This window comes from Homo sapiens, chromosome 5 (assembly GCF_000001405.40).
Source record: "Homo sapiens chromosome 5, GRCh38.p14 Primary Assembly".
Taxonomy (NCBI): Eukaryota; Metazoa; Chordata; class Mammalia; order Primates; family Hominidae; genus Homo; species Homo sapiens.
Window position 1 is genome coordinate 15,602,086 of NC_000005.10, and position 27,568 is coordinate 15,629,653.

The 27,568-nt window shown below is 40.2% G+C and overlaps 1 protein-coding gene and 1 long non-coding RNA gene across 6 annotated transcripts in view; one reads left to right on the forward strand and one right to left on the reverse strand.

Annotated features, from left to right (window-relative positions):
* The window catches only part of FBXL7 (F-box and leucine rich repeat protein 7), a 439,614-nt gene that overhangs the window by 101,906 nt on the left and 310,140 nt on the right, over positions 1 to 27,568 (forward strand). For all 5 annotated transcript variants that reach the window (NM_012304.5, NM_001278317.2, XM_017009262.3 and 2 more), the window contains one exon: positions 13,898 to 13,987. In NM_012304.5, coding sequence (NP_036436.1) covers positions 13,898 to 13,987 — 90 coding nt within the window. Of the gene's footprint in view, positions 1 to 13,897; positions 13,988 to 27,568 lie in introns of those variants that run through there.
* On the reverse strand, positions 104 to 12,917 carry CTD-2350J17.1 (uncharacterized LOC101929472). Its single transcript, NR_109945.1, has 3 exons — positions 12,891 to 12,917; positions 5,075 to 5,261; positions 104 to 274 (listed from the first exon to the last, which is right to left on the reverse strand). It is a non-coding gene; the product is annotated as an uncharacterized LOC101929472 (long non-coding RNA).

Here is a 27,568-nt window from a genome sequence, read left to right on the forward strand (position 1 = left end):
TACGAGAAGTGAGGACAGAGGCATGGATCAGAGTCTCCATGGAGCCCTTGCAGGGAGCATGGCCCTGATGACACCTTGATTTCAGACTTTTAGCTTCCAAAACTGTCAGATAATAAATTTTTATTATTTTCAATCACCCAGTTAGTGGAAACAAATACGGAGTACTTTACAGCATGTCACCACGGGGACTCTGTAGGTAGTTCGGAGGTTCTACAAGTAGCCATTGTGTAAAAACTCTCTTGTTTCTTGGTGGGTGGCACAGAGTTGAATGGTGCTGGTAAGGAGGGGATAGTGCTTATTAGAACATGTTATGGACCAGGGATATTCCATTAGGAATAAATTTCTAGTTTATTCATGCAGTTACTTCTCTTATTTCAACACATTTAACATACCCTGCACAGTCCTACTTTTGGAGATGTGGGAGGGGACAAGGCAGACATGGAGCCTACTCTCATGGAGTTGACCATCAAGTGCAGAAGACAGGCTTGATTGTTTCTAATCAACCTAAATATTTTTATTACCAATGTTTAAAAAAGCAGTCGTACTAAACAATAATGAAGTTTTGTTAAGAAACTAGTATTTGTATGTTGGTCAACCCTTTGACCTTGGACAAGTATCTTCAGATCCCAAGTCCCTTTACCCTCCCCCCAAAAAGAAGAATAAAATACTCTTAAAAAAGAAAATAAAACAGTGTTTGAGAATGTCACTTAAGGATCCCATTTTGAAACTAATCATACTGGATTTTTAAAAATTTATTTTTATTTTTTAGAGACAGGGTCTCTCTGTCACCTAGGCTGGAGTGCAGTGGCACCATCATGGCTCACTGCAGCCTCGAACACTGGGGCTCAGGGGATCCTCTGGCCTCAACCTCCCAACTAGCTAGGACTACAGGTGCACACCGTCACAACTGGCTAATTTTTTTAAATTATATTTTTTGTCAAGACATGATCTCGCTATATTGTCCAGCTGGTCTTGAACTCCTGGCCTCAAATGATCTTCCTGCCTCAGCCTCCCAAAGTGTTGAGATTACAGGCAGGAGCCACTGCCCAACCTCATACTGCATTTATGTTTCATTCCATTTATTTGTCTGTGCTTTATCTCCCTAGCCTAATATGAACTGTGTCTTGTTTTTTTTAGTGCTAACCGTAATCCTTTGCATACAATAAGTTTAGCATGTATTTTTTGAATTAAATTGAATTATTGATTAAGAATATTAGGATGATTAATAGCTAATTGATTATTTATGTGTGTACCATTCCAAGCAATTTACTTGCAATTTACTTATTTACTTCATTTTTTTTCTCATGATACTTCTATGAGTCTATCTTGACTATTACCCATTTTACAGATGAAGAAACTGAGGTATGGAAAAAGTAAGGAACTTCCTCAAGCTCAACCATCCAGTTAGTAAAGCCAGAATTCAGGCCCAAGCCTTACTTCTGGCTCCATGCCCTCCAGTGGGAATTCTCCACTCTGTGTAGGCAATGAGGTCATGGCTTATAGCGATTTTAAAGAATTCATCTGTGAACTGCATCCTGGATCACTCCAGTTATAGACATGGGTATTTTTCTCAGTGGCCCCGATGCCACTTATTAGATGGTTTGGCGTAAAGAAAGTACCAGTTAGGACATTCAGTGTAAAGAAAGTACTCGTTAGAACATTCAGTGTAAAGAAAGTACCAGTTAGGACATTCAGTGGCTTGAAAGGAAGAAAGGAAAACATGACTTTCAGCCTTCTGCTACCTTCTCTGGGTTTAAGAGGACGTGTGGGGCCAGGTGTGGTGGCTCACACCTGTAACCCCAGCATTTTGGGAGGCTGAGGCGAGTGGGTCACTTGAGGCCAAAAGTTCAAGACCAGTCTGGCCAACATGGCGAAACCCTGTCTCTACTAAAAATTCAAAAGTTAGCTGGGCATAAGGTGCATGCCTGTAATCCCAGCTTCTCAGGAGGATGAGGCACAAGAAGCATTTGAACTCGGAAGGCAGAGGTTGCAGTAAGCTGAGATCCAGAAGGTAGAGGTTGCAGTGAGGCGAGATCATACCACTGCACTGCAGCCTGGGCAACAGAGTGATACTCTGTCTCCAAAAAAATAAAAGGGAGGACTGTGTGAAAGTCATGTTCTTTTCCTCTTTTCATTATTAGCTATTACATCCTCTAGGAATAATGCACAATGGATTGATTTTAATTGAGATTTTTGTCTAAGAAAACCCTTCTCCACCAATAAAAAGTTGGTATGTGGAATGATTGCTGATCAACTTAGATAACTTTTATTTTATTTTATTTTATTTGAGACAGAGTCCTGCCCTGTTGCTCAGGCTGAAGTGCAGTGGCACAGTCTTGGCTCACTGCAACTTCTACCCCCCGGGTTAAAGAGATTCTCATACCACAGCCTCTGGAGTAGCTAAGACTACAGGCGTGTGCCACCACACCTGCCTAATATTTGTATTTTTAGTACAGACAGGGTTTCGCCATGTTGGTCAGGCTGATCTCAAACTCCTGACCTCAAGTGATCCACCTACCTCGGCCTCCCAAAGTGCTGGGATTACAGGCCTGAGCCACCACGCCCAACAGATGACTTCTATTTAATTCTTTCTCTGCTTACCCTTTAGCTAACTCGACTTAAATGATTTCTATGCTTCAAGGCCCTGTATGTGTTAAAGTAGGAATTTCCATTTCACATTTTCGTTTTGCTTGTGTGGTATTGAGTGGGACAGTCCTTCCGGCTCTCTCCATCTCAGTTGAGGCTGTAGCTCTGGCCTTTCCCACAGAGAAAGTGATGAGTCCCCATTTAGGCAATAAGGGGAATCCCCTAGTCATCCACTGGCTGTTGAAGAGGGGCGCTTTGCAGCAGGTGTGTGCAGGGATCCTGTGATCTGCATCTGCTCTGTTAGCATTTGTGACATCTCCTGCTTTGCTGTTCTGAATTCACTGTGGCCAGTAGCACTGGCCGTACAGCCCTGCTCAGAGATAACACTATACTGGGTGGAATCCTTTCCCTAAACCCAAGCTCTCTGCCTATCCTGGGGCTGCAGCAGGGCAGTTGCTGACTCAGCAGTGGGACTGTCTCCTTTCTCTCCAGGAAGACTGCTGTGTGCCTTGTTCCTCTGCTCCAGCCACAGAGCTGGATCTGATTTCAGCTGGAAACAACAAGCAGTAGAAGTTCAAAAGTGAAAAACCACAAGCAGTCAAATTCCAGCACTCCGTCATTGCAGCAGCATTCACAATAGCCAAAAGATGGAAGCACCCCAAGTGTTCATCAGCAGATGAATGAATAAACAAAATATGGTATACACACAGAGTAGAATATTATTCAGCCATGAAAAGGAATGAAACATGGATATATGAAACAATGTGGGTGAACCTTGAAGACATTATGCTAGGTGGAATAAGCTAGATACAGAAGAAATAATATCGTGTAATTCCACTTGTATGAAATATCTAGAACAGGCAAATTCATAGAGATCAAAAGCAGATTAGATGTTACTAGGGGCTAGGGGAGGGAGGAATGAGGAGTTATTATTTAATGGTTACAGAGAGCTTCTTTGGGGTGATGAAAACATTTTGGAAATAGTGAAGATGGTTGCACGCATTATGAATGTAATTAATGCAATTGAGTTATATCCTTACAACAATTACAATGGCAAATTTTGTGTTATGTACATTTTACCACAATTTAAAAAAATTAAAAATAGCAAGCACCCTAAACCAGATCTTGCTTCTGAATGGTGGCTTCACTTTGTCATTTGGCAATGGCGCAAATGCTAAAATATGTCTTTGGCCTTCTTAGACTGGACATAAACCCAGTAGAATGACAGCATCTTAGGGGAAGAGACCCTGTCCCAAGTCAAGTGCTAATGTGAAATATGTGCTCAATCATTGTAAAATATATGTATATCTGATTATCACATAATACACCTTAAATATGTAATTTTTATCTGTCAATTAATTATTTTAACATTACAAAAAGAAGAGGCTGATAAAATTGACTCAGCTGGTCCCATGTAACAGGGCATGGTTATTCTTATGAAGGTTTCAGTTCATCCTTAGAAATATGCTACCTCACTAGAGGGCTATCTTTTCTTTTTCTATTTTATAGGTTTTTTGATCAGTTTTCTTTCTAGAGGTTAACTCTGACCCGTTATCCTAGAAGGCCTTTATCATGTCTTCATGCTGTGACTCTAGCAGAACACACATACATGCGCACGTGCACACACACACACACACAATGTACATGTATGCGTGTATGATTATGTATATTCTCATGCTTGCATAAGCACAGTGACATAGCAAGACAGCAGCTGTGGTGGGAATTCTCCGCTCTATGTGTAGGCAATGAGGTCATGGCTTATAGCGATTTTAAAGAATTCATCTGTGGACTGCATCCTGGATCACTCCAGTTATAGACATGGGTATCTTGCTCAGTGGCCCTGAGGCCGCTTATTAGATGGTTTGGTGTAAAGAAAGTACCAGTTAGGACATTCAGTGTAAAGAAAGTACTCGTTAGAACATTCAGTGTAAAGAAAGTGCCAGTTAGGACATTCAGTGGCTTGAAAGGAAGAAAGGAAAACATGACTTTAGCAATTTCCCTTCTGTTTCGTTTCCTTTCCTGCCCTCTCCTTCCCCAGCCCCTGCTTCTAATCTTTGCCGCGTGGAACAAAGAATACCAGAATCAAAAACAAAGGACACTGTCTCATGTTTTTTGCTCACAAGAAAATGAAACAGAGTGCTTAGGATTCTCTGCCTCCTCATCTCGCCCCACTTGAAGGCCTCCACCCCTGGAGAAGTCATCTATTTAATCACTCCCCTTTGGCTTGAAAGAGCTAATACACTTTTACAATATGTATTCAGTTTCTTCCAAAAACTAATATGCACCTGGGCCAGGAACTAAGCCAGATCAATTGTTTGAGATAACCGATGTTATATTATGCTGTAGGGACAGACATTGAACTGTGGATCAAAGAAGATAAGAAATTATTTCAAGATACCAGTCAGGAAAATAACAGTAAATTCAACACACCAATATGACCCACCATTCCCTTGATCTGATTCTGAGATCTTGAAAAAAATTCACTTACCTTTGGTATGGACACTTAGTATTAAATCAGGTTCTCATGGTGCACCAGTAGCAGCTTGAAAATAAGACAGTGGAGAGAAGCAGGAAATAAGGGGCTGAGGCCTCCACCTGGGTCCGTGTACTTGTGTGTGGATTTTGTGTTAGAAGTCTGCAGCTGTAATCCATGTAACCAGTGCAGTGCGTATGATCTGGAATAGATATCATGAATCAGTTTTGCAAGAGATGTCTTAGACTCTTAAGAGTGTTGGTAACCATATGACCCCACTGATTTGTTTTCTGTTATGCCCTTTATCTTGCTTGTGTCATAATATTAATAAATTAACTGTCTTGAGCACTAGAAATGAGAAAAGAGAAGAAACTTAGTTTTGCATAGTACCTATGGGAATTCTTAAATTAAAAGAAACGTAAAGTCCCTCACTAAAAGGACTCCCCATTAAATGAACATTATCTTCAAGCCTTAGGAAAACCTGGCACGCTCTAACAGACAGCCCAAGGGAATGCGTGATAGGAAGAAAAAACCAGGACATTCTTCTGCTAACATTGCTGAGTTAATAGTGTGTCCCATTTGACCAAAATTATCGATCCACTAACTGATTTCAGCGGCTCAGAATTGTATGTGTATATATTAGCCTATTACAGATAACATTTACCAAACTTAGTGTGTTCGTTTTCCCTTGCTTTGATGTTTGTTTGTATTTGATACCTACTTGTTTTTTCATTTGTCTTCCTTTGGGCCTTTGGCCCACTTGCGAGGAAATTAAAGAAGGCACAAAATTTTACTTTACCGAATCTGACCAGCACAGTTCCAGTGTACTAATGGCCCCTAATGGGGGTTTAGCTATTGGTCAAATAAACAAATAAACTTTCATGTGTGTAAAGCAGTTAGAAAGAGTGGATTTTTCCTGGATATTTAAATTATGTATAATGTATGTGCATATATAATATTTATTTTATCATTTATCTAATAGTAAAATAATTATTTTAAATTTCCTTTCTTAATTTGTGATATAAATTGAAATAATGGGTCAATATTAATAACTCATAGTGTGGGTTCTCACAGGCATTGGTCATGGTTTCATGCTTTACCTGCCAGGGTTCATTTTTTTCTCATAGCAGCCTCTCCCAAACCCTGCAGGTTGGGTAATGTCCTCCCCATTTTTGGTAGAGCTAATGGCTGTCTTTTGTTTGCGTGTGCATATCTTTATTTTATGGTTGACACAAGAGTGCTTGGAAAGTTTGAGAGATGTTCACCTGAGCATGTTGCTTGGAAGTGGTAGCTATGGAATTTAAATCCATATGGGTCTGTTGCTGTGGTGGTTACTTTTATGTGTCAACTTGGCCAGGCTATAGTACCAAGTATTTAATCAAACATGAATCTAGATATTGCTGTGAAGGTATTTTGTTAGGTGGTGAACATCTACAATCAGTGGACTTTAAGTAAAGGAGATTATCTCTGAAAATAATAATATGGATGGGCCACATCCAATGACTTGAAGACCTTAGAAGCAAATCTGAGGTTTACTAAGAAAAAGAAATTCTGCCACAATCCTGCAGCCTCAACTTCTGCCTGGGTTTCCAGCCTGCTAGTATAACCCACAGATTCGAGACTTGCCAGCCCCAACTATTGTGTGAACAATTCAAGTTTAAAAAATCATATATATTCACACATGCATACACATACACATATGTAACCTCCATTGGTTCTGTTTCTCTGGAGAACCTTGACTGATACAGACATCAAAGCATGGGCCGTATGATACCCATTTACAGAAGGTGAAAGGTTTTTATCCCCGTGTTACTGGCAATGAAACAAGACTTAGAGTTTGACAGACTTGCACGTGAGCATATGTGTGGCGTGGAAATGGTTGAGGTGGGGTTTTAAGCCAACTCTGCCTCCAGAAACAATGCTGTTTAACACTGTAAACCACAGATTCCCCATCACTCCAACTGCACATGAAGCAGGCAGCCCTGATGGGTGATATAACAGTGGCTGATGTTTATTACACACTCCTTAGTGTGCTACTCACTGGGCTGCCCATTTCACCTGCATCATCCTGGGTTCTCAGTACAGCTAATGGAGAGGTCAAGCCGCTGCCTGCTTCTCACACTTGATGAATCAGAGCCACCTGAAGGGCAGGTTGAGGCACAGGTTCAACCCCCAGAGTTTTCTTCATTTAAGGGGAGGGAAATGAGGCTTCAGCCTTTGAAGTGGGAATGCCAAAGAATTTGTGGACATATTTTAAAACCAGCACAGCTTAGTTATTGCTGGTGTCTTTTGTGAGTGTCTTTTGTGAGTGAATGTGCTGGTCCTTTATTCTAGTCAAGCATCCTTTCATTCAGTTTATCACTGTGCCAGTGTTTCTTATTGTTTCCTAATGCCAAGTTCTGACTGTGCCTCCCAGTTGCCCCTGACATGGCAATCTGCTCTCTTGTTGCGGCTAATAGAAGCATCTCACTCCACTGTGTTGACTCCCTAAGGCAAGCCCCCAACAGACTTTCCTTGACTTGTGGTCATGTCAGTGTCACCATGAAACCCAGGTGACTCCAGAAGCTGCAGCGAAGACTGCCCTGAGCTGGACTGTGCTACCCGGCAGCTTGATGTAGCCATGGTTCTAGCTGCTGGCTGAGCAGTCTTGAGGGCAGGTGCTATGCAGCATCCTTAGCATAGGGACTGAGGTGACAGCAATTCTACAGCCTCTAGAGTTGCTCTCTGTATTAGTCTGTTTTTGCGCTGCTGATAAAGACATACGTGAGACGGTAATTTACAAAGAAAAAGAGGTGTAATGGACTCACAGTTCCACATGGCTGGGTAGGCCTCACAACATGGTGGAAGACAAAAAGCACGTCTTACATGGCAGCAGGCAAGAGAGAATAAAAGCCAAGTGAAAGGGGAAAACACTTATAAAACCATCAGATCTTGTGAGACTTCTTCACTACCACAAGAACAGTATGGGGGAAACCACCCCCATGATTCGGTTATCTCCCACCAGGGGTCCCTCCCAGAACACGCGGGAATTTTGGGAGCTACAATTCAAGATGAGATTTGGGTGGGGACCCAGCCAAACCATACCTTCTCCAACACACCCTCTTTTTTCTCAGAAGAATCCCAGAGAGGGAAACCAAAGTGCAATCTGGCTGCTCCCCTCCTGTGCCTCTCTTGCCCCTGGTCATTTCCAGTGTCACCATGGGGTGGCTTCCTGTGCTCTTCACACCACCTCCCTCTTATCTGGACTTTCCGTATGTACAACTCCAGGGTCTAATCTGACATTCTCACTCTTGATTTTCTAAAAGGGCTGAGAATGTAGGCAGTTCCTTCCTGAGACAATAGCTTGACTTGCAAGAATGTCGTCATGCTGCAGACTTCAGCTGAATATTCCCCTTGTTTTTTCCCTCTGAATTCCTTCTGTAACATTTCTTCTCTGAGCACCACCCTCCCTGCCTCCCTCTCCACTTGAACTCAACAAGGAGATGGTTATTGCTTCCAGAAGCAGGGCAGAAGAGCATATCATGGTATCCAACATAGGAACCTCATTCTACAAAGATTTGTTGGTTATTTCCTAGGTGTTCACGATATCCTAAATACAGAAACTGAATTATTTTTCTACAAAGATTTGTTGGGTATTTCCTAGGTGCTCACACTACCCTAAGTACTCAAACTGAATTATTTTATTTAATTTTCACAATAACCCTATGAGGCAGGAATTGACCCTCCACCCAGCCCCATTTACAGCTGAAGAAACAAAAGAAACTACAATAGAGAGGGTCTATTAATTTGCCCAAAACTAATAATTGGCCAATCCAGATACAAACCCAGGCCTCTTCACTCCAGATCTTCCATGCTACCTATCCCCATCTACATGTAAGCGGGCTGCAAGCTGCAAAATCACATGTAATACAAGATGACACAGTGTCAGTCCTCATTATTTGTGGATTTCATATTTGAGAATTTGCCTACTTGCTAAAATTTATGTAATCACCAAATTAATCCTTGAGGCACTTTTAGGGTCACTCACAAATACATGCAGAGTGGTGAAAAATTTGGGTTGCGCAACACACACCTTCCCATATAAGGCTGAACAAGGTGACACTCTGCCTTCCTGTCTCAGCTCTCCTACTATGCACAGTGTTCTTTTTGGGGTCCATGTTTTGCCACTTTTTTTTTTTTTTTTTGCTTTTTGTACTTTTTCTTGCTGTTTTCATTAAGATGACCCCCAAGTGTAGTGTTGAAGAGCTGTATAGTGTTCCTAAGTGCAAGAGGGCTGTGATGTCGCCAATATGTGTCAGATAAGCTTTGCTCAGACACGAATTATAGTTCCATTGGCATTGAGTTCCATGACAGTGCATCAATAATATGTATTAAATAAGATGTCTTTAAATAGAAACACACAAAAACCAAATTGATATTGATCAATTGATAAAATTGTGAGCAGAGGCTCTCAGGAACCTAACTCTGTTTCCCTTTGGGTCAGTGATTTGCTAATTTAGTGTTTATGGTTACTTTATAGAACCTAAATATCTCAAGTTATGAGAATCAACTGTATTGGCCAGGCATGATGGCTCTTGCCTGTAATCCCAGCACTTTGGGAGGCCAAGGTGGGAGGATTGCCTGAGGCCAGGAATTTGAGACCAGCCTGGGCAACATAATGAGACCTCATCTCTATTAAAAAAAAAAAAAAATGCTGGGTATGGTGGTGTGCCTGTAGTTCCAGCTACTTGGGAAGCTGAGGCAGGAGGATCACTTGAGCCCAGGAGGTTTAGTCTGCAGTGAGCTGTGATGGTGCCACTACACTCCAGCTTGGGTAACAGAGTGAGACACCATTTCAAAAAAAAAAGAAAACAAAAATAAAAACAAAATCTTTACTTCCTTAATTAATTAAATTCTCAGGCATTTAAAAATGTTTTACTTATCAAAGGACATAGATTTTCAGTGGTGGTGATATTGCTCCTAAGGGGACACAATCCACCCCCCCAAGAAACAATGTATTAAGCAGAATCACATACATAGTACATAAGAGATATACAGTATATCTGTAGTGTTGCGATTTCACTGGGGGTGGGGTACTTAGGGAAAAAAAGTCTAAACAGTTTCCTTGGAGGGTAAAATAATGAGAAAATGATTGAGAAATACTGTCATAGGGCATAATGACTATTTAATAAGAGAAAGCATGTAAAGCATTTATTAGAGTGCTCAATGAAACATATGCACTTAGTGTTAGCTATTATTATAAATAACATTATTATTTGTTTCCTCAACCTTATACTCTTTCTTCATAAACAAGCAATTTTTAAATTGGAGTTTGCAGCCCTTTGAGGGATCAGCACACATGTCCTCACGTGTGTCTGAGAAGTTTCTCTGAAATTTGTTGTTTTATTTTGTGCTTTCATTTTCATGATAATCTTAAAAATAATGAATAACTGTGTACTGGTTCCCCTTTATAAGAGAGTCCTGCCATGAGTTATATTGTCCAAGTTTCCCCATGTTTAAAGGAAGGCGCTCTACTCCAGTGTTTGTAGATGGATAAGCAATAAAAGAGCAGTCTTAAAAATGTGCCCGATACAGTCAGACTCAGTGAAGGCCACCTGATGCCATCTCTTTGTAGGAGGGAAGGGTTCCCTGAGTTCGAGTAGAGGAAAGTGATATGCAGGTTGAGTCCTCACGCAGCCGGGAGTGGGCACGTGCATGCCAAAACAAAGAGAACATTGGCTTTAGCAGTGAGTACTGTATTTAAATTTTGAAAGACAGTTTAATCTCAGCAAAATAACATCATCAATCATGTTAAACTAATGCTGTTAATTTGAATGTTATGGATCTTATTGTTTTTGCATTTAATTTGTTATTTTGTTTTAGTTTTATTATTGAATCAGAGCTAGAGCATATGGAGTTTATTTCTAGTTTTCCATTTGTGCATCTCTAAGCAACAATATAATAAAAATAATTTAAGTCTACATATTGGTGTTGCACAATAATGTTATTTGCCTTATTAAATGGAGTGGTTTGGATTACTGAGGTTTGAGGAATAAAGTAATGGACTCAAAGAATTATAGACTGAGCTGCTAGGAATCATTTTTCCAGAAATTTCCCCTACCAGATACAGACACTAGGCCTGCAGAGTGAGAAGTGAATGTCAAAGGTCAGAAAGCAAGGGAGTGGTAGACTGGGGTCAGAGGCCAGGTGGACATACTTCTAACCAGGTGCCCAGTCTGCCATGTCAACCCACTTCCAAAGATGAACCATGGCAGATAAATGGCCACAGCTGCCAGGCCACAAAGGCTGGTTAGGCAAAAACAAATGGAGAATTGCTGCATTGTTTTGGTTAACTCTGAGGGTAGAGGCTGTGGAAGGGGTGGGGACGAAGGGAATAACAGATTTGTTCAGAGCCTAAGTCCCAATGAGCAATGGGTGATAGTGAGAGGAAATGATGGCCATTTTTCTGAGTTCCTTGGTATTCCCATGGGTAATATCACCTGAGCCATTCCCTCCTCAAGTGATATTAACCATCAGCCTGTATTGTTCGGTGACTTTCATCATAAGGAAACAAAACTCCAAAGTCTAAGGAGTTCTACTCTGTATGAATTTAGACTGTAAGCTTATGCCACCTAACTAGAGTTCTGTACTGTCTTAGTCCATTCGGGCTGTTATAACCAAATACCATAGACTGGGGGGCTTATAAACAACAGAAATGTATTTCTCACAGTTCTGGAGACCGACAAGTCAAAGATCAAGGTGCCAGCAGATTTAGTGTCTGGTGAGGATGCACTTCCTACTTTATAAACAGTCTTCTACTGTGTCCTCACGTGGCAGAAGGGGGCAAGGAAGCTCTGTGGGATGTCTCATAAGGGCACTAAGCAGAGTCCTCATGACCTAACCACCTCCCAAGGCCCCACCTCCTTATACCATCACCTTGGGGATTAGGATTTCAACATGTGAATTCTGGAAGGACATAAACATTCAGTTCATTGCATTTACCACTGGGAAGAAAAGACTGTTGGAAAATGATGTTTCTCAGCTGCACATCAGAGTTTTGATCATCACTTGTGGAGCAAAAAGAATTCATCTGTGATATAACTAGTTGGTCATTAGCAATAGCTTGCGTTCTTTTCTTTTCTTTTCTTTTCTTTTTTTTTTTTTGAGACGGGCTCTCACTCTGTTGCCCAGGCTGGAGTGCAATGGCGCAATCTTGGCTCACTGCAACCTCCGCCTCCTGGGTTCAAGTGATTCTTCTGCCGCAGACTCCCGAGTAGCTAGGATTACAGGCATGTGCCACCATGCCTGGCTAATTTTTCTATTTTTAGTAGAGATGGGGTTTCACGATGTTGGCCAGGCTAGTTTTGAACTTTTGACCTCAAGTGATCCATGTGCCTCGGTCTCCCAAAGTGCTGGGATTACAGGCACAAGCCACCGCGCCCATCCAGCAGTAGTTTTCTATTGCTGAGTAAAAACATTACCACACACTTAGCAGCTTAACATAGGAGCATTTATTATTCCACAGTTTCCTGGAATCAGAATTCTGAACATGCATTAGCTGGATCTTTTGTTCGGGTCTCACAGTGCTGCAATGAAGGCATTGGCCAGGGCTAGGCTGTCCTCTGATGCTCAGGGTCCTCTTCAGTGCTCACTTGGTTGTTGGCAGAACTCATTTTCTTGTAGCTGCAGAACTGATGGAGGCTTGCTGCTTCAAAGACAGCAGGAAGGGTCTCTCTCCTCCAGGCCCTCTTTTAAAGTACTCACCTAATTAGGTCAGGCCCACCCAGAATAATATGCCTTGTCATTAATTTAGTTAACTTCTTAGGGACTTTACATCTGCAAAATGCCTTACCTTCACGATAGCCTGTTGGTTAGAGGCCAGTCACAGGTTCAGCCCACTCTCAAGGGGGAGGAGATGATGCGGACATGGATACCATGAGGGCGTCTTAGGAATCTGCGCACCACAGTCAGTAGGTTTCTCCATCACTGGGCAGTAGAGTGTGGTTCATATTTACAGACTTTCATGTGACATCTGAAGAATGTTTGGTAATATTAATGTATATGATTATATTAAAGGTTAGAAGAGTAGAAACTCAGCCTTGAGCTAAGATTATTTAGACCAGGGATTCTCACCCTTGGTACCATTGACATTTGGGCTGGATAATTCTTTCTTGTGGCGGCCGACCTGTGCATTCTAAGACGTTTAGCAACATGCCTGTCCTCCACCCACTAGATGCCAGTTGCACCTCCTGGCTCATTTGTGACAACCAAAAATGATACCAGATATTGCTAAATGTCCCCTTGAACAGAAAAATCATCTCCAGTTGAGAACTGCTGCATTCGAAAAATGAAATGTTTTTTGTTGTGTTTTGTTTTTGAAGGAGGACCTATTAAAGCAGGGAATTCATTTTTTGATGTGACGCAGCTATTTGGAGTTAGCGGCTCTTGCTCCTCTGATTATGCCTTATTCTTTGCTTATTTCCTTTACTGAGAAATGCATAATTTATAGTTGCAAATAAAAAATTAATGCAGGAGATGTGTTCCCCACATGTACTTTCTTATTCACATTTATGCCAAAAAGAGATTATGTTATCATATTTGACTACGTTTTATAATCTTGTCTGAGTTTATAGTCAAGCTATATTATAAGAAGACTTTAGTTCTCCTATAACATGGATCAGATATTTCCCAAAAGATATTTAATGCATAAGGCAAAAAAAAACTTAATAAACTCCATTCTTTGTATTATAGCTGCTTTCTTGGAAACTGGTGATATGGCTTGCTGTGGGACCGAGTGGAAGGCATGGTCCAGGTCTGAAATTACAAATCTCAAAAGCTGCTCATTCCTGTTTCTTCCAGGCAAAGGCAGCTCGAGCATCTCATCTGACGTGAGTTCAAGTACAGATCACACGCCCACTAAAGCCCAGAAGAATGTGGCTACCAGCGAAGGTAGGCAGCTGGTCTTCATTATCTCTCTTTCTTCTTCACAGGGCTGGCTATTTTTGGAACAGAAATAAAGTGTGGGAGTGTTAGTTCTATTCTCCTGAGTGGGAGCATATGAGATCTTAAAAATGAGGATGTTCAGGGTCTCCTAAGTTTTGTTGTTGTTGTTGTTGCGCTGCAGTTACAGTTCATGAAAATTGATTTGACGGGATTCAGGTGCCTCAATTATAAGGCAAATGTTGTTTTGTGAAAATGGAATAGGCTGAATTAAGGGAAGGCTTTACAATATCATATACCTTGTCTTTCCGTATAAAAAATGATATTATTTTAAAATCCTTGTGCTGTAGTTGAATGTTCCTGGAGGAACTTTCAAAATAGGCACACCTGGAATTCAAGATTTTGACAGTGGCAATATCATAGTCATGTTATTTGTAGAACTTGAGTTAATCTCCAAAATTTGGGAGTAGGAAAAAAGGGGGTTTCTTTATTATTATTAAAGAATATGTAAGAGGTCCTTCCTGTCAGGACAAAGATTGGTCGCAGTGATTTTCTTGATGAAGAATTTGCATGTGGTAATACATGTTAGAATTCCACTGCTTTTCAATATGGAAGCTTTTGAGTTACTACTTACTTGTTTGAGTGTGGAATTAATTGTTTCTATTGTAATTATTTAGTGGAAAGTTGACCCAATTATAGAATCAGCTCTTTTTATTTTAATGTTAAACATGATTAAATGACTTTCTGTCTGAAAATGAGTTGTTGCTAAACTAATTGTTGGATTAAAGTCCAGTTTAAACATCGACGCCATTGATAATGAAAGACCTTGAGCTGTCAGCTAATTTTCATGACATTGTGTAGCGCCTGCTTTCCTAAAGTCTGTGGGATGTTGCGGAAGCACACTTCCAGTTTTTTGTTTCAGATATTTAATTTCTGTTGGTCATAATATTGGGCATGTACCCATGGGCTGACATTGGCCATCTGAGATCCATGATTTCTCTCTATCTGCATTATAATTTATGTATTGTAATTGTATGTGGTTTACATCTGCTGGTATGTATACGTCTTCTCTTTGATATGTTTTGTCTTAGTGTGCTTCAAGTAGCAAAGAATTACCTTTTCTGGGTTAATAGCTTTACAACTGGATTATATTCTCCATGCTTAAAACCTTAGCACTGTTTGATGCGTTTTCCCAACATCGTAAGGCTGGCAGATTGGAGTGTTCTTTCTTTTCAGTGTATGGAAGCACCAGGTAGCAATCCAGTTTTAATTTTCTGCCTGTTAATTCAGGTATGGGCATTAGATCATTAATGAAATTCAGTTAAGGTAATGTACAAATCTCGTTAACTGATTCTAGACATTTATTTATTTATTTATTTATTTATTTATTTATTTATTTATTTATTTATTTGAGATGGAGTCTCACTCTTTTGCCCAGACTAGGGTGGAGTGCCGTGGCACGATCTTTGCTCACTGCAACCTCTGCCTCCCGGATTCAAGTGATTCTCCTGCCTACAGGCACCTGCCACTATGCCCAGCTAATTTTTGTACTTTTAGTAGAAATGGGGTTTTACCATGTTGGCCAGGCTGGTCTCAAACTCCTGACCTCAGGTGATCCACCTGCCTCAGCCTCCCAAAGTGCTGGGATTACAGGCATGAGCCACCATTCCCGACCTGACATTTACTTTTGAAGCTTTCATTCTTAGGAGCCATAGTGGAAATCATTGCAGTTACACATAGTGCAATCCTCTCTAGTCAGAAATCTGTTTTGCCAGATTATCTATGTTTTCTACCGTTGTTTTACAGTCACTCTTGTCACCATAACTTGTCTAATTTGAATGGCTATCCAAATAGAAAGTTAAAAGCAGGTTAAATAATCTGTTTTTTTAAGCTTTCTTATTTTTTCTCCTTTTCAAAAATAGAAAATACACAACTATATCAGCTGTGTTGCAGGGGTTGGGGGAGGGTAGTGTGGGACCTCATGCATTTAACAGTGTCTGCTTTTTATGCTTCCAAAGGGGGAAAAAATCTCTGTAGGGGCTTTAAATTTTCATTTTCTTGTGCCTTTCCCTTATGAGGAGGTGCAGGCCCAGCCAATGTTTTATACATTTTGTCACAATGTATTTTCTGTTATTCTGAGGGTAGAATCAGGCGAGAAAAATAGGAAAATGTTATGTTCATATGGAAGAGTTTTGAGCAACTGGGCTAAATTAGTGAGGAATTTCCTTCTAGCTTTTAAGTAGAAGAGGCTTGTCCCTATGAAAGATGCTGCCCATTCCCTTGCATAACTGAAAAAATTAAAAAAGAAAGTATTAAGTTCTGCTATTTGTGTGTCTGAATCCTTTTTGCTGTAGTTTTTTTAATCAATTAAAACAAAATATTAAAAAACATAGAATAGGTGTGGGCACATGTTACATTAAAATGTATTTCAGGGATGTTTGCGGGATGATTAGTTTCCTCTTATCAGGCTGCTTTTTCAATATGGATCCAGAGTAGCCAGTGCTAATTTCCTCCACGCACAGGAGACATAGTCTCAGGAAGAGACCATTCAGGATAAGTGATTAGGGAAGTATTCTCTGACCTCTAGAGGGTGGATCTCAACTATGGTGCATAACTTTCTTCTCACTGGGAAACACCTAGGAAACCACTGAGGAAGAAGCAGAAGGCAGACACTGACTTCTCACTCAGACTGTTAGCACTGGAAGAGATCTGAGTTACCCCAAATTACCAGCGGCCTATCCCGACGGGTCTATAGCAACTTCAGTCCTTGCCTCCTCAGAAGAAATAATTCGACTGAGGGACATAAAACAGAAAAAGAAACCGAGGCAAGTTTCAGAGCAGGAATGGAAGTTTACTCATATAGGCCTTAGAAAAGGAAAGAAAGAAGGTGCGCTTGGAAGGAACTCAAGCAGGCACCTGAAAATTAAAAAGAGAAGTTCATGTGCCCCCATTTAACGGTGATCCTAGGACTTTTATAAGCTCACCTCTTTCCCATGATTCTTCCCTTAGGGTGGTCTTCCTGCATGCGCGGAGCCCTCTTTACCCTTAGGAACTGAGCATGCGCAGTGTGTTTAGGGAGTTGTACGCATGCCCATCTGAGGATTTCTTCCTTTTTCCCCGGTGGCATGGAACCGGAAGATCATACTTAGCCATTTTTTGTGTTTTAATGTGCATTCCCGGGAAGCTGTTTCTCCCTGGAGTCTGTATTCAGTTAACAACTTTTAATGTTAACAGGTGTGGACCATCAGGAGATTGTCTCTCCCTGGTTGCGGAATTACACTTTTTAGAGAGACAATGCCAAACCGTCACCGACATTTCTAGTTGGGGTGGGATGGGAAGCCGTCTCCTGCCCTGCTCACGCCTACCTAACTACCTGTAACAAGACTGCAGAGGAGCCAAGCTAAAACTGCTTCTCGGATTCTCTTCCCACTGTTTTCTAGAACTATGTTTAACCTTTGATGTTAAGAAAATATTGGATGTAATTGGCTTTCCAGTAGCCAGTTGATTATGGTTATTTTCTTCAATTCCTTGAGCTTCTCATGATTTTTTCACCTCTGAATTCGCCAATATCACCTTCAGGGAGCACAGGCAAGATTCTTAGTTTAAAGGTCTGAATGGTATTGATTTTTTAAAATGACATATATTGTAAAGGATAATATTCAGTTTTCCGGCAGTCTTTGAAAACCATGGCTATACCTTTAATAGCCAGGTTGGAAGCATTTTGCAGAAGTGTTGGCCTTTTCCCTGATGGGATGGATAGGGAGGGTTCACATTGCTTCCCTGGTTGGAGGTGTATGTATGTGTGCATTTGTGTCTGACATCTACATGGTAGCTAACCACACAGGTGTTGTCACTTCGTAGAAAACTCATGCAATTGTGCTGGTAAATAAAGTGAGGACATGGGGATAGAGAAAACAGAGGGCCCTCACATAACCTGGACTTAACCTCAGCTGCAGGTGGGAATGGGAATTAACTGTAAATGGACAGGAAGAATGTTACTGGGGAGATGACAATGTTCTGAAATTGGATAGTGATGATAGCAGCACAGCTCAGTAAATTTAGTAAAAAGCATTGAATTGTATGCTTAAAAAAGAGTGTTGGGGCAGCTACCACTTCTGCATGATCTTCAGACTTATATCTGAGTCATCACAAACTATTCTTTTTTTCTTTTTTTTTTTTTTTTGTTGAGACAGAGTTTCACTCTTGTTGCCCAATCTGGAGTGCAGTGGCTCAATCTTGGCTCACTGCAACCTCCTCCTCCCAGGTTCAAGCGATTCTCCTGCCTCAGCCTCCCGAGTAGCTGGGATTACAGACACATGCCACCACGCCCAGCTAATTTTTTGTTTTTTGTTTTTTTTTTTTTTTAAGTAGAAACGGGGTTTCACCATGTTAGCCAAGCTGCTCTCGAACTCCTGACCTTAGGTGATTCACCCGCCTCGGCCTCCTAAAGTGCTGTTATTACAGGCGTGAGCCACCGCACCTGGCCCACAAACTATTCTTTGAAAATGCTTCTTGCAACTGTGGGGAGAGATCGGGCCAGCAGACCCGTTCCGAGGGGAGGATTGGCTGGTGTATAGAGCAGGGTTGCACGCTGGCCCCAAAACTCTCCTCAGATGCTCCAGCTCTGGGGCGGAACTGGCCTGAAACTGATAGTGAGTTCCTGGACTAGTGTTCCCAGCCTGGCACGTGGTGCCTGGTTAGAACTGACTCATCATGGTAATATTTCCTGGAAAGTTCTGGAAGAATTGTGAGATTGTAGAGTCATGGGTTTCCCAAACATTGGTTTTGGTTTCTTTTCTTGGCTTTCCCTGCGTAGTCTCTCACCTCAGCTCCGATTTTGTGTTCTAGCACCCAACCCTAATGGTAAAGACATCGAATTTATCCACTCCAGTAAGTCTGTTTCTTTGCTAATGACTTTATGATCTTCCTGTCTATCCAGTGTTCCAGCTAATCCACTCTGGGTCGTAAGGCTGTTCCCCTAGGCACAGTGGGCACATTTTGGTTTTAATTCATGAGAGAATGGCATTTTTGACCCACTGGGAGTGTTCCATTCCAAAGTCTCATGCCAAAGTTCTGGGCATCTTAATTTTGAGACTAAAGCCACAGCCCTTGTAAAGAATTGGCAGTCAGCAGGGCTTTCTCCCTGATAAGTGGTGTAGACGTTCTTTACAGCCCATTGTATTTCTTGTGACAGTTTAAGTTTCTAATTTCCTGACACTGTAGGGGGGGTTGGGTTCCAGTGTAGAAGGCTGGAAATTTTCCATTTTTTCCCAACATAATCTACATTCCAACATTGTAAGACACAGCTTAATTCTTTCCAGTTGTGTTACTATTCTTTCTCTTTCATATTTTTCAGTCTTTCTCATTCATGGGGTATTCTCTCCTATACTGGAAAGAGGGGCCTTTGACCTTCAGTTATGAAAGTCACATCCAGCCCATGGTTGGAATAGAGCACACAGCAGAGCATGTTGAGTAGAATCAGTTGGATTAGGTTAATTAGGAAGAAGCTTCCTGAAAATAGCAAGCTGAGCCTCAGCTTCTTTCATAGAACTGAAAGGTATGAGGCTATGGCTCTATGGGCGGGTGGCTCAGTCTTTTCTGGAGCTGGGGGAAGGCAAAACTGTCAGTTTAAAGGTCAAATTTGATTGGCTGATAAAGAGTCAGCTTTGGCCAGCTGTTCTTTAAGTAGGACGCATATTCAAATATTGAACCCATCTACAGCATGGGCTATTAATATGATATCTTGGTTCTACACATTGGTTATCAAACCAGACAACAATGCAGCCACGGGATTTTCAGAGTTACAAAGGGTCTTGTCAATTTTTGGATCCAATACACTCATTTTTTTTTACATTAATTAATGAAATCACCATCTGTTTATTGAATATGAGTCATTGTGTTACGTGCTAAAAGATGCAAAGATAAATGAGAAACAGTTATTGTCAAGGAACAGCAGTAGAAAGACATGCACAAATAGCTAGAATATGAGGTATCATTTTGTTATAAAACATGATAAAATGTATAATATATATTGCATGTTATTATTACTTTTTATATTGGGCCTGATTTATTTCAGTATCCCCACATATAGCACAATTGTTTCACATGGTGTATTTGCTCAATAAATACTGATTAAATGTGAAAAATAGAAAGGATATAAACCAAATGCTTGGGCAGGACTTTTCTTTTTTATTTTATTTTATTTTTTATTTTTATTTATTTATTTATATATTTTTATTATACTTTAAGTTCTAGGGTACGTGTGCACAATGTGCAGGTTTGTTACATATGTATACATGTGCCATGTTGGTGTGCTGCACCCATTAACTCGTCATTTACATTAGGTATATCTCCTAATGCTATCCCTCCCCGCTCTCCCCACCCGACACAGGCCCCGGTGTGTGATGTTCCCCTTCCTGTGTCCAAGTGTTCTCATTGTTCAATTCCCACCTATGAGTGAGAACATGCGGTGTTTGGGTTTTTGTCCTTGCGACAGTTTGCTGATAATGATGGTTTCCAGCTTCATCCATGTCCCTACAAAGGACATGAACTCATCATTTTTTATGGCTGCATAGTCTTCCATGGCCAATACACTTATTTTTATAAATACCTGTAGCACAGAGAAATGAAGGGATTTGCTTATTTTATTTTTATTTTTTGAGATGGAGTCTTACTCTGTCATCCAGGCTGAGGTGCAGTTGCATGATCTCGGCTCACTGCAACCTCTGCTTCTTGGGTTCAAGCGATTCTCCTGCTTCAGCCTCCCAAGTAGTTGGGATTACAGGCATGAGCCACCATGCCCGGCTAATTTTTGTATTTTTAGTAGAGATGGGGTTTGGCCATGTTGGCCAGGCTGGTCTCAAACTCATGACCTCAAGTGATCCCCCCACTTTGGCTTCCCAAAGTGCTGGGATTACAGGCGTGAGCCACCATGCCCAGCAAGGGTTTGCTTATGATTACACACCTAATAAATTGTCAAGCAGGAGGTTGGTGCAGTATTGTTTCGATCAAATTAGAAAAAACATAACTTTCGCTATTTAATTCTCTTTTGCTGCCTGATTTCTAGCAGTCTGTTTTGAGCTGGTTGCAGAGCTGAAGCAGCCTGTTCAGAATAGTTTGGGAGAGGTTGTTAAGCCCAAATCCTTTGGCCCAAGACCATTATTCCCAGTAGGAGGAAAGGATCTGCCCCGTAGGTAAAAGATTCTTAACTTTCTTCAGTAGATTAGCTGGTTACCTAGGGTTGGAAACACATTTCAGTCAACTCATGATTTTATAATAGCCTTTCAATATTCAGTTAATACCGCTTTGCGATATTGTGTAAGTCCTTGCGAGGAAGTCATTTTAAATGTATCATTGGAGGCTTGTGAAATTATTTGATTTCTAAAGAATTTATGGTGATATTTGTTCCATGGAATCTAGAATCACCAATTTGAAGTCATGAGTTCTCATGTTTTCAGTGCCCAAATTAGATCAGTTCTAAATAGGATTATTTTGAAAATGCCCAGACATCTGGCTTTGCTTTCGTTCTGTTGTCCTTATATCTTTATATTGTCTTCTTTCTACTTCTTCTTGAATATACTTTTCAAACAAAATTTACATGAATCATCTAGGGAAGGAAAAATGATGCTTTTAACTCTAGGTGAATTCTGTTTCCCAAAAAGCTTTTCAAAACTCTACAACAATTCAACAAACATTTTTGAGACAATTATTATTTCAGGCTTTCGTGAGCATTATTGCATTGAGCATTGTTTCACCATTACACTTCTCTTGAGAAGGCATAAATGTTTTCATTTTGCAGATGAAACAGGGAAACTCAGAAAGGATCAGTTGGGCTGTATTTCATGTAAAATTAGTAGGTGGCAAAGATTATATCAGGGCTCAAGACTACGAGCCTTGACATAAGATGTGTACTTAATGCTTATTTTGTCATTGTCAGCGAAACTGAATTTCATGCTAATCATTTTTCTAAGTTCCTATCAAAGTATATTTTTACTGTACTTAGGAGAAGTGTGTTTTCCAATTTCAACTCATAATTGTGTTTAGCTTGTCAGTATTATATATGCAGATACTTCTGTGATCCATATAGGGTCTAGAAATTGACTTTAAATCCTTAGTTATTGCTATGGTTTGGATGTGGTTTGTCCCCACCAAAACTCATGTTGAAATTTGGCCCCCAATATGGCAATGTTGAGTGGTGGGGCCTAATGGGCCGTGTTTGGGTCCTGGGGCAGATCCCTCATGATTACCTTTATGCCCTCTCTCAGGGGTGAGTTCTCTTGAAAATGGGTTAATTCCCATGAGAACAGATATTTTAACTGTTTTCCCATTTGTCCTGAGAATCCTCGCCTGCACTTGTTGCTGCAGCATTTACCCGAAGATAACTTTGCCATGAAATAGCTTTTGCTTTTATTATTATTTTCAGATCACTCTAGTGTATTGACTTTGGAAACAAAAGATAATGTTTTACTTACAGAATTCTGTTTTTAGTAGTGGTATTTACATTTACAAAATACAGTAATTCTTGATTGCTGAAAGTGTCAAATCCTAGAAAATGTAGCATTCCTACACTTGAAGTTAACATCATTTTCGAGCTGTTGTTGGCCAAAGATTCATCTGATGAATTCAGCTTTTCTGAAGTAGATGATTCTGATGATTCAGATGTTTCTGATGTTAGTTTTGTTTAGAAATAACTCCAAGAACAGTTTTTATATTTTATTTTCACATTGAAAATCAGTCAGATTTGCTTCAGCCTCAAATAACTGTTTATGTAAAATTAAATGAGTGTTGGCTGTGAGGTACATGTTTGTTTTTTTTTTTTTTTCCTAGATGAGAAAAGCATTAAAAAGAGTCTGGCTTCTTGATCTCTCTCTCTCTTGCTTCCTCTCTTGCCACTTGATCTCTTTGCACATGCCCCCTCCCCTCCTGCTTTTTCCCATGAGTTGGAGTATCCAGAGGTCCTCACCGGATGCAGCTGTCATTCATTTTTGGACTTTTCGGTGACCAGAATTATAAGCCCAATAAGTGTCTTTTCTTTATAAATTACCTGGCCTCAGACATTCTGTTATAGCAACAGAAAATGGACTAAGACAGTTATGGAAGGCAAATATTAGTATTCTAAGCTGCCTTTATACTTGAATTGTTGAAGATTTAGTCTGCAAGTTACCACAACTGTATTCTTAACACATGGCAGTCAGACTTAGTAAAATTAATATTTAAGTTAGTCATTATATAGGATCTAAAGTATATGTAATAAAAAATTACTGAATAGTTATTTTACTGATTTTCCCTTTAAAAAAAACTGAGCCACAGGCTGGGCACGGTGGGTCACACCTGTAATCCCAGCAATTTGGGAAGCCGAGGTGGCCGATCACATGAGGTCAGGAGTTTGAGACCAGTTTGGCCAATATGGTGAAACCCCGTCTCTACTAAAAATACAAAAAATTAGCTGAGTGTAGTGGCATGCATCTGTAATTTCAGCTATTCAGATGGCTGAGGCCCAGTAATCCCTTGAACCTAGGAGGCAGAGGTTGCAGTGAGCCAACATTACACCACTGCACACCAGCCTGGGTGACGGAGTGAGACTCTGTCTCAAAAAAACCAACCAGCCAACCAGACAAACAAACAAAAGCCAAATCAAAACTAAAACCCAACTGAGCCATGGAATTTTTCTTTAATTGGAAATATATGAAAGTGGAAGATAATAATTTCAGCATGTACCTTAGGAGACTGGAAATATACCTTGAAGCTGTCTATTACAATAGAAGGAAACTCAATCTATGACACCAAAAAAGTAGAGTAAAAACATGTAACATAGGAATAGGAATAAAAAGCAAAGAATGAGAGAAAGAAAATGATGCTGAAGAAATCTCTTAAAAAATAGTGCTAAAATGACAACTATTGCGTGGGGGGCCTTAAGAGGAAGAGATTCTGAAGTCAGAAATGTGGTATTAGGAGCTTTTAGTCTGTGTATGAGGAAGGTGATGACTGATTATTATAAAGGTTTGTTTTCGTCTTTAAAAATTAAATTTTAAACTTAACTATCTTTGGAATTCTCAGGATCATTTAGGAAAGCTTTGCAAGACTTTAGCCTTTGAAGCTTAATGTGTTTTGGTGATTCAATGAGCAATTCACTGCTTCATGACCAAGTTTATTTTATTGTTTAAGCTACTGCCCAAGTATAAGTTAGGTAACTTTTGAAAAACTGCACCACTTACATCTGGTGATTTGAGCATGTTAATGTTCAGTGTGCCCAATTTAATAAAGAAGTCAAATTTGCATCCAAGAATCTTTTAAGCAGTGGAAAGCTCATCATCTCAGTGTCCAGAAAATTGGTTTGTAAGCCTACAAATGTACAATAAAATGCTAAATACCATTTCAGACGCAAGTAATAAGTTTAATTTCTTGAGGGAATTATCTTCCAAAATGCATCATCCAGAATGACCAGAATATCATATGATAGTCTTAGAAGAAAATTCGTTTCCTGTGTGTGTGTGTGTGTGTGTGTGTGTGTATGTGTACACCATGCACTTAAGGAAATTGTAAAGTAATATTTAATCGAGATGTCCAGAGCTCTCAGTGCCTTTATGCAGATGTTGGAGAGAGACAGGTTTAGGTATTTAATATTCTAATTCCATGTCCAAAATAATTCTATGTTTATTTCTTTCACCTAGTTTGCCATTTCCAAAAAAAGCACCAAAAAACTAATCATTGTATTTCAGCCATAGACATTATGGTTCATCTAAGTACATCTAAGTGTATTTGTAATGAAAGCTTGCATCATTCCTAATTTTTTTTATCAGTAATTTCAGTATCTTAATTGAGTGGGAACTTATTAAAGAATATAGTCCAAATACATGTATTTAGTCTCTTATGGAGAGCTCACAATATGTCAGTCAGGGGTCACCAACTGGTAGCACAGAGGATGATTCCTCCCCTTAGATGGGTTTTCTTCTCTTTAAAGAATTTTCAAAAATAATTCTGGGTTTAATAATGATTTCGGTGGAGCATGCACCCTGCTATGACTGAATCCCCACCATTCCCAACTGTCTTAAACAAACTGTCATCTAAATATTTCTGTTAGCTCTTTGGCTCCTGAAGGAATTTGATTTTATGACAAGATCCACTACTTCCAGAACTGTAGCAATTACTGGGGCAAGTAAACACTTGTGTAGCAGTTAAATAGCCATTCAGGGCGGGATAAAATTATGTCTCAACAGGTGGTCTAAAGCAGAAGGGAGTGGGTGTGGGTTGGAGGAATCAGGACACCCTCATGGAAGCCTGGGACTGTTGGCTTTTTGCTGTGTGAGTAGTCAGTGGAAGCGTGGAAAGGAAGATAGCATGATGTGTTAGGGTGTGAAGAGCTGGGAGAAATCTCACTGGGTCCATGTAGGGAAAATGGAAGCTTCAAAACAACCACCTCCCTGGCAACACTGAATAGGCTCACAAAGTGTGTTAAAGGACAGTCTTTAACTAAAACATGGGGTTACAGATTGCGTGGCCACAGTGTTCTTTGTACTAGGGTTTCAATGGAGCCCATATTTTTGGTGATGTCAGTGACAAATAGGCCATTCTGCATCCACGAACTTTCTTTAGTGTACTGGGGAGGTTTTACACTAAAGCACCATCTTCTCAACTCTTCTATAGTGAAGAGAGACTATAGAGGAACTTGGGGACCAACATTTTAGGACAAATAATCTGATATTGGAAATATTTGCCCTTTACAGTCACGGACACAGTTTGACCTTAACAATCTAGTTAACATGTCTGTTTACTTCCTCTTTGACTAGGAAATAACTTCTCATGGATAAACTAACTTCCTGAGGAAGTCCCCAACTTCCCTAGGTTGTTAGACTAATTAACAAATCAGCAGAGAGAAGCACTTTAGTAGTAAACGGTGTCTTTGCATTCTGTATATGTAAAAAAGAAAAATGTAGAAAGTCCACACTGTGGAGGGAATAATATACAAGTAGTTTAAAAATTGTGTGTAAATCATTTAGAGATGGTTGAAGAATTGTAACGGGTGAAGTCTATGGGAATTAGGTGGCAACAGAGTTAATTATTTTATATATATAACAAAGAAACTTTCTGTTGTTTATAGCGGCTAGTGGTTTTCAAGATGGGGTGGGGCATCTGGTACACTGAGGGACATTTATTCTTCTAAATAGTGAGACATGTTTGGTTATGTGAATATTCAGATGTGGGCTATAGAAAACCAGATTTCTCTGCCCAGAAGAGAGATTCTGAGCTGCAAAAGAAGAAGGTGTAGGAGGATATCCAGGAGGGTGAAGAAGGAGATGGACCCAAAGAAGATGGATGGTGGAGCGAAGATGTTTCCAGTATCTTGAGGGTAGTGGCCCATAAGGTGACATGTTCCTGTGTCCCTGAAATCTTTAGTCAAGTCTATGAAACTCACAACATGCTTGGTGGGGATAGATTTACTGTGGAAATCAGTTTAGGGCTGAATTTTGAGATTGTTCATTTGCCTTTTGTGTTGTCACCTGACTTTCACAGACACAACTAAAGCCAACTTCTGAATAATCCATCCATTAACACGTCCATAATATTCAATGTGAATACATTTAAGCATGCTGTTGTTACATGCTTTTTCTTCCATCATATATAGCAGTATTTTCTATAACATTAATTTATGCACTGTATATTAACTGCTCTCTTTTGAGTATAATTTTGAACTTAACATTATTCCCATTATTAAAAATTACTATTCTTTTTATGCTTGGCTTTTTACAACTTCTTCTGTGGATAACTTTTAAGCTTCTCCCCTGTACCTCCAACATTATATTTCCTGCTATAAAACCACCCTTCCTTTTGGCCACAAAAGAATGCTCTAGACCCACCTTAGATATATTTTTTCTGCTGAAGACAGAATCAGTCATGTCCTCAGAGCATCTGGGTTCTTTTAGTAGAGAAATATGGACCAAGCATGGTGGCTCATGCATGTAATCTGTGCACTTTGGGAGGCTGAGGTGGGAGGGTTGCTTGAGGCTAGGAGTTCAAGACCAGCCTGGGCAACAGGGTGAGACCTCGTTTCTACAAAAAAAAAAAAATTGAGAAAATTACTTGGGTGTGGTGGCACACACCTGTTGTCCCAGCTGCTCAGGAGACTGAGACATGAGCTCAGGAGTTTGAGGCTTTAGTGAGCTATGATTGCACCACCGCACTTCAGCCTGGGAAACAGACTCAGATCCATACTCAGAAGAAACGGAAATATACTTGAGACACAAGTATGGGAGTCAAGCAAAGGGTTCCTGCTGCCGTGGGCTCACTTTTATCAAAGTTAGAGCTAGAGACTATGTGCTGATTTAAGGAAGCAGTACACATTGATTTTATCAATTTCTAGTATTGGGTACCATAAATTATTATATGACATGTTTTATTATTTTATTATGAAGCTTCATTGGCTGCAAGGCTTTCTACTACTCAGAAACCAAACATATAACTTATATGGGGTCTTCCTCACCAGACCTGCAAATATGCCCAGACATGCACAATCCACAGCAATGCCAGTACTAGGCCACAGCCCAGTCAACATATCCCTGCATGAGAGTTTTGTGTATGCTTCCTGCGATGCCT